The 7,645-nt window shown below is 43.5% G+C and overlaps 1 long non-coding RNA gene across 1 annotated transcript; it reads right to left on the reverse strand.

Annotated features, from left to right (window-relative positions):
- Positions 1-522: 522 nt before the first annotated feature.
- Positions 523-3,122, reverse strand: TTTY8B (testis expressed transcript, Y-linked 8B). Its single transcript, NR_003591.1, has 3 exons — positions 2,987-3,122; positions 2,305-2,509; positions 523-712 (listed from the first exon to the last, which is right to left on the reverse strand). It is a non-coding gene; the product is annotated as a testis expressed transcript, Y-linked 8B (long non-coding RNA).
- Positions 3,123-7,645: the final 4,523 nt, after the last annotated feature.

The following is a 7,645-nucleotide window of genomic DNA, read 5'->3' on the forward strand; positions in this document are numbered from 1 at the left end:
GCCAATGTGGAATATGGAAGTCAGAAAAAGAAGAGGCAAGTGTAGATGCCACATGCCACCCAGCATCAATCAATTCCACTCCGATTTGCCTCTGGGTATGAAAAACCTCAAATCAAGAGTTTGCCAGGAGGGCCCCAATTTTCATTCCAAATGTTGCTTACATAATGAAGTACTCCCACCTGAACACTGGGCCATGGTGTGGACTGCTTGTGCAATTAAGGGAATGCTGGGATGGAGTTGGAAGCACCTGCTATGTCATCTGTCTTCATTTACTAATTAATTAATTAATTTATTTATTTTTGCAGGCAAAGTTGCTGGACCCAGTTCACCCCTCACAAGATTGTATCCTCACTCCTCTCTGACCTTATTGTGGCTCATACTCTATGTCCCAGAATGAAATCCCAAGATGATGGAAAAATATCCCTTCATGATGTGAAGCACCTGCTCAGCAATGAAATGAATTTGAGGTAAATTCAAGGGGCAACCAGAAGTTTGGAAGACTCAAAAAAAGAAGCACTGAAGTGCATTATCCACAGTCCTTTAAGCAGACTCCAGTTAAAGGCAAACACACACACACTCACACACACACACACACACACCCCTAAGCACACAATGGCACACACACATGCAGACATCCAACACTCACAACATTTTCACAGAAACAAGCAGCCTGGTAGCTCCTGAGTTTGGTTGGTTCTTCAGGAAGACCCACCTAGGAGAGAGCAACACCAGAGAATACAGTCAGGGTGTACCTAGAAATCACAGTGGGGCAAGTTTCAAAACTACTCACCCCCACAACATCTAGGCAGACCTGAGGAGACTTGCAGATCTTTTTGATCATTAAGGATTTCACGGTTTATTCCTGGAGCAGAGCCAGCCTAGTACTGGGGAAAATGCTGCCTCAGAAAACTCACTATCAGACCATAAAAGTCTTCACCTCAGGCCCCCTTTGGGCTGTCTCCGTGGTTGGGTCTCGCTGGAGGAAGAGGCATTTTGAGACTGCGAGGTGATCATTGGAAACTGCTCTTCTGGCTCCATTCCAGAAAGAAACTGTGTGCAAGAGTCAGATCCCATGGGGATTGGAATATAGCCTGGTAGGTTGTTTAGAATTTTTGGGTGATAGATTTATACCTGAAACCTGAGACCACAGAGCCAGGTGTCAGTGAAAGATAGCCAAGCTCTTGACCTCACTGCTTCCCTTTATCTTGACCTCACTGGGGCTTTCTGGGAAAGGCAGAATCCAAGACAAAGTTAAGACTAAGGTATTACAGTATTCCCACACCTCAGACTGGCCTCTCACGGGTGCAGATAAGGTTGAGACAGTGTCTTAGAGGCCCTCTGTGGTGATGGCAAGCCTGAAAAGGGTGTCCAGTAGTGCTGATGAGGGGCACTGTGGATTCCCCAAGAAAGCAAAGAACAATCAAGGCTCACCTGAGAAAATGAGTGCCTTTTGCTGGAGTATAAGCAATGTTCAATGATTCTTGTCAGAGGACTCAAATCTTGCAAAGTGCAAACAACCTCAGCCCGCACAATGATGCAATCACCCACAACCTGGAGTGCAACCAGCCTACCCAAAGTCCCTTTTGCACTTTGAAATCCCTGACAGCTAAATAATTTGTGGAGAGAGGTAGTCACATCTGGCAATAGCCCAATGAAATTGTCTCTCCACAATGAGAAAGGATATGCAGATACAATGAAACACATCCTAGATTACCAAGCAAAAGCCAGACACACCGGCCTCCTTCTCATGCTCCAGGAATACACTGTCCTCTGATAAAAGTTGGAGAGCAACAGTTTCTTTTCCCACAACTGTAATGGGAATTTATGGTTTTACATATATCAAAGCAGCCCAGTCATTAAAATGTGACAGTGTTTGTAAGGAAACATTCGTGCAACGGATTCCCATGAGTGTCATCCTCTGTGAACTAGGAAACATTTAGTGTGCAAGACATTTAGCCAGACCCAGGAAACCCTAGGCAGATGGGGAACATGGAAGTCAGGAAAAGAAGAGGCAAGTGTGGAGGCCACATCCCACCCAGCATCAATCCATCCCACTCCCATTCGGCTATCATAATGAATCTGGGGTTTGCCCAGATGGCCCCAGTTTGCACTCCAAATGTTCCTTTCATGTTGGAGTACTCCCAGATGAACATGGGGCCATGGTGTGCGCTGCTGATGCAATTAAGGGAATGCAGCGATGGAGTTTGAAGCAACTTCTGTTTCATCTGTCTTCACCTTTTTTGCAGTTGAAGGTGCTGGACCCCATACACCCCTCACCAGACAGTGTCCTAACCCCTCTCTTACCTTATTGCTGCTCACACCCTCTTTGCCAGAATGAAATTCCAAGAAAATGGAGTGTCCCCTGTTGACTTTAAGCACCTGCTCGGCTGGGGATGGAATTCAATGTAAATTCAAGGGGTCCTGCAGAGAAGACTGCTAGTGTCTCTCCTTGGGTTAGCGTGAAACACTGAGAGATGTTGGTCTTGGGTATGACGTGCTGCTCTTCTTTCTGGAAAAGTAAATTTTTTTCAGGGGGAGGTGATTTGGACTCTGGCTCATCTTGGTCAGACTCCTAATTCACTACAGATTCATGATCCACAGAAAAATAAAGAACACGGAGCCTTGCATCCCAAGCAGAACCACACACACAGGCAAACAAATGTTAGGTTACTCAAAAAAAAAAAAAAAGGAAGAAGAAGTGCTGCAATGCATTGCCCACATTATTTTAAGCAGACTCCACTAACAGGCACACACTCCCACACACACACCCACAAATACACAAAGCCACACACACAAGCAGACATCCACTACTAGCAGCACTCCCACAGAAACAGCAAGCCAGCTTCTGAGGCTGCATGGTTCTGCAGGCAGACACATCTGGGAAACAGCTACCCTAGGGAACACAGGTGGGCTATATGTAGTAATCATTTTGAGACAAGTTTTAAAAAGAGTAACCCCTGAAACATGTAACCAGGCTGGAGGCAACCTGCATATCCTTTTGGATCCTTAGGGATTTCACGGTTCATTCCTGGAACTCTCCTTGATGTTCCTTCGGGCTGGCTCACATCTACCATCTACTAGAATCATGGCACTGTCCTGTGTATCCCACAGAAAAGACAGGCAAGAGTCCACCACTGACACACCTCCACAGAGGTCTCATTCTCCACAAAGGTGCAGGGACTTGTCGCTAGGCAATGGTTCCATTTATTGTGACACTAGCCAGAGCTCACTGCTCAGGCCTGGTGCTTTAAGACTAGCTCATGCACATTCATGAGACAGGATCAGGTGCCTGCCTGTCAGAGCCATCAGCTGCCTAAGCAGAGGAAAATGGTACAGGCAGAGCCGTCCTGGTATTGAGAAAAAGGTTGCCTGCATGACCCTAAAAGTCTCAAACTTATTGCCCCATCGGGTCGTCTTGGTGGTGGAGTTCTGGTGGAAGAGGAGGTATTTAGAAGCTATGAGGTGGTCACTGGAAACTGTTGTTCTGACTCCATTCCTGAAAGAGACCATGTGCAAGAACCAGGTCCCATGGGGATTGGGACAGGGGCCAGTGAGTTGTTGAGGGTTCTTTATGTGATGGAATCACACCTGAGACCCCAGAGGCAGGTGTCTGCAAAAGATGGCTGGGCTCTTGACCTCACTGCCTCCCTTCATCCTGGGCCTTGCAGGGGCTCTCTGGGAAAGGCAAGAACCACTACAAAGGCAATTTCAAGGTGGAGCAGTGTTCTCTCACCTCGAACTGGCCTTGCCTATAGGCAGATGAAGTTGTGACAGTGTCTCAGAGGCCATCTGTGGCAATTGCAAACCTGAAAATGGTGTCCAGTAGTTCAGTTGATGGGCAATGTGGAATCCCTAGGAAAGCCAAGAAAAATCAATGCTTACCTGAGAGAACAAGCTGCAAAATGCTGGAGTCAAAGCAATGTTCAATGATTCTTGTCAGAGGACTCAAAATCCTCCTGCAAACTGCAAAAATCTTCACCCCCAACAATGCAACCATGACCCACAACCTGGAGCTCAGCCAGTCTCTCTGAAGTCTTCTTTGCTGTCTGAAATTCCTTGCAGTCAAAAGACCTGCAGTGAGAGGGAGTCCCATCCAGCAACAGCCCATTGAAAGAGACCCGTGACAATATGAAAAGACGTGCAGATGAAACGAAACAGAGCCAAGATTACCAGGCAAATATTAGACACAGTTGCCTGCTTCTCATTCCATATGAATCAAGCCACCCTCCGATAGAAGTGGGAAAACAAGAGTTTCCCTGTTGGCAGCTCTAAAGGAATTTACAGTTTTAAAAATATTAAAGCTGCCAAGTCATTAAAATGTGACAGTGTTTAGAAGAAAACAATCACACAATGGATTCCTATGAGGGTCATCCTTTGTGAACTGGGAGATGTTTAGTATGGAAGACAATGAGCCAGACCAAGGAAACCCTAATTCAATGAGGAAGATCGAAGTCAGAAAAAAAAAGAGCAACTGTGGAGGCCACATCCCACCCAGCATCAATCCATCCCACTCCCATTTGGCCCGGTGTTTGAAAGCCCTCTAAGTGCACAGCCCCAGTTTGTACTCTACATGTTCATGGCATGTTGGAGAACTCCCACTTGAACACCGGGCCCTGGTGTGCATGGCTTGTGCAATTAAGAGGATGTGGTAATGCAGTTGCAAGGAACTTCTGTGTCATCTGTCTTCACCTTTTTTGCAGGTGCACTTGCGGGACACAATCCACACCTCACCAGATTGTGTCCTCTTCTCTATCTGACCTTATAGCTGCTCACACTCTCTGTCCCAGAATGAAAGCCCAAGATGATGGAGTAGTGCTCCCTCATGACATAAAGCACCTGCTTGGCTGGTCTCATGTATTGATTAATCATACCTATAATTGTTAACATTCATTGTGAAACATAATGTTTCATTTTTCTTCCTTATTCTCCACCATTTGTTTTCTTCTCAGATTAGTTATAGTTTGTAAATTATTTTGTCAAACATATGCAATAAGGTAACACCGCAGTATTGCAGAATACACTGCATTGGAAACAGATTCATATTGGAATGGGAAAACATCCCTTATTACCTGCAGCTGGGAGATCAATAAGGATGGGATCTGGGGTTCTGACCCCAGGTACCATCTATGGGTGAATGCTTACACTTCTTGAATCCCTAGCGGGCATGTGTTACACGGTGCTAATTTAGTTTATCCATCTGTAGGCTACTAGTGTTAATTCAATTAGACACCCTGCCTTACTGCAAGGACAGAGGGCTTTCCACATCCTGAGCTTATCTGCTTTGCTGTACCTGAAAAATTGGCTCACACATGGGCTTGGAGAATAAGTGCAAGGTTTCATTGATTGGAAGTGCTCAGCATATGGATGGGGAGCCAGAATGGAGATGGAGTGGGAACGTGGTTTTCCCTTGGAATGGGACAGCTCAGAGCTGTCCTCCCACATCCCCATGAAACCTTGTGTTCTGTGGTGAGTGGCCTGCTGCCTCAGTCGTTGTGTTCTCCTTGCTCTGGTGTCCTCTCGAGGTCCAGTTGCTGTGTCTTCTTGTGCTAATGGTTCCTCTCGATGTCCAGCTGCTGTGTATCTGCCTGCTAGTGTCTCAGGGTTTCTTATAGCACAGGATGGGGGTATGGCAGGCCAGGGTGGTCTTGGAAAATGCAGCACTTGGGCAAAAAAACAGAAACACATGTCCTCACCAACTGGGGCAAGAAAATAGAAGTGTGTGTCCTCACCTAGGTCAGTGAGCACAGGCGTGATGGTGGATCCCTAGCCAAGAACCACACCCTCCTCTACCAGGCACTTCCCTGCCCTCCTTCCATATCATTATATTTTAAAATTTAAAACTCCAAAATAGCACCTTTAGAGAAGACAATTGGAGAAAATGGCATTAGAAGAGCCAGTCTAGGATTAGGCTCGCTGAATGCAAAATGGAAACACAGATAGCATGTCCGGCAGGCATGGAATCACTGCAGAAACATATCTCTTACTGAGAAGGAAAAGGAAACAAACTGGCTTCTCTCATCTTCTTGTTCTCTTATCTCTGCAGTGTCACCCCTTGACTGAACTGAAAGAGGAAGTAATTTTTATGGGAGCCTAGGATCCCTACCTCCCAGAGGCCAGGCCTCTCTATTACAGAACAGTGCCAGGGAGACGTGAGTGATGTAGCTGTGGGCATGCAAACCCAGGGCCTCACACAAAGGAGTATCAAAGACAAATACAGTATCAAGGGATGAAGAGAGAATTACTCTCAGGAATGATTCATGCTTGATATTTGTGAAAAGACCAAAAAGTAAAACAGCTTATGAGGTAGTAAACATAAAAAGAACATAAAGAAAAGCAGGCAAAAATGGTAAAGTCCAGGCTATTTACCTTTCCTTTATAGGATTTTGAAAATCCCTTCTGGAATCCTTTTCCCAATATCTTCCATTCATGGATTCTTTCAGGAAATATTTATTGAGCTAGAATGGTCTAAGCATTCGGCAGATGGCATCATATACACTGTTGTACTTCTATCATTGATAGAAAGAATGTTTCTTTTTTTCTACAATGCTTTTCTCCCAAACATTCTTCTTGAAAATTTGTGTCCTTACAGATGCTGTCACTTGTTGCTGTTCTAAGAAGGTTCCCCACACCCCTGTAAACCCAGTTAAGAACTTTCTTCCTCTCCAACTAAGTTACTATATTGCATATATTGTAACACTTGTCAGAGTACATTCCAATTATTGCTCTTCTCTTCATTCTCAAATTAATATTTTGAAGGAAAATCTATGAACACAATGGCTTGACATTTCTCAATATTTATTGTATAAAAGGTTATTAGATATTTATATATATATTTATCTTAATTTTTGGAAAACAAAATAAACAATGTTCACTGCCCAATCCCCCATGAACTGCTCAACTTTAAACAATGTCTAGGATTTTAGAGCAATTATACAAACTTTCAAAAAACACCTGAAAGTGTTTCTATTTTAATTTATTTTGCTTTTTATATTGAATTATTTTGTAGAGACAAAGTTTTGCCTCAAGGCCCACGCTGAAGTGCAGTGTGTGATCACTCCTAACTACAACCGTGAACTCCTGAGTAAATAGAACAACAGATGTGTGCCATCATGCCCAATTTAACCAATTAAATAAGTAGTTACACTTTAGATATAGTTTTTGCTGTGTAGCCTGTGCTGATGTCAAACTCTGGGTTTGAAGCAGTCCTCCCTTCTCCGCCTTCCAGAGAGTTGTGATTCCAGGTGTGAACCACCAGACTTCAAAGAGGAAATTTTAGATTTTAGAATATTGCAATATATTAGACTTAATTTCTTCTTTCAACTTTACATTTGCAGTGACACTTCATAATAATTATTACTTATGGTGAGAATGTGATTTCTTATATTTGGTCACCAAATTTTGAAATCTTTATTCTGTTTACTTAAACCCTAATAACTTGTAGTCAACTGAGCTGAAAGTCAAGTACATGGGTGTTTTTTTTTTTTGCTGAGGCTGTGAAGACAAATGTAGAGATGCATTAAAAACCAAAGACTTTATATATATATATATATATATATATATATATATATATATATAGTCTTTATATATATAGTCTTTATATATATATAAAGTCTTTATGCTTTACATATATAGTCTTTATATATAT

Source organism: Homo sapiens, chromosome Y (genome assembly GCF_000001405.40).
Source record: "Homo sapiens chromosome Y, GRCh38.p14 Primary Assembly".
NCBI lineage: Eukaryota > Metazoa > Chordata > Mammalia > Primates > Hominidae > Homo > Homo sapiens.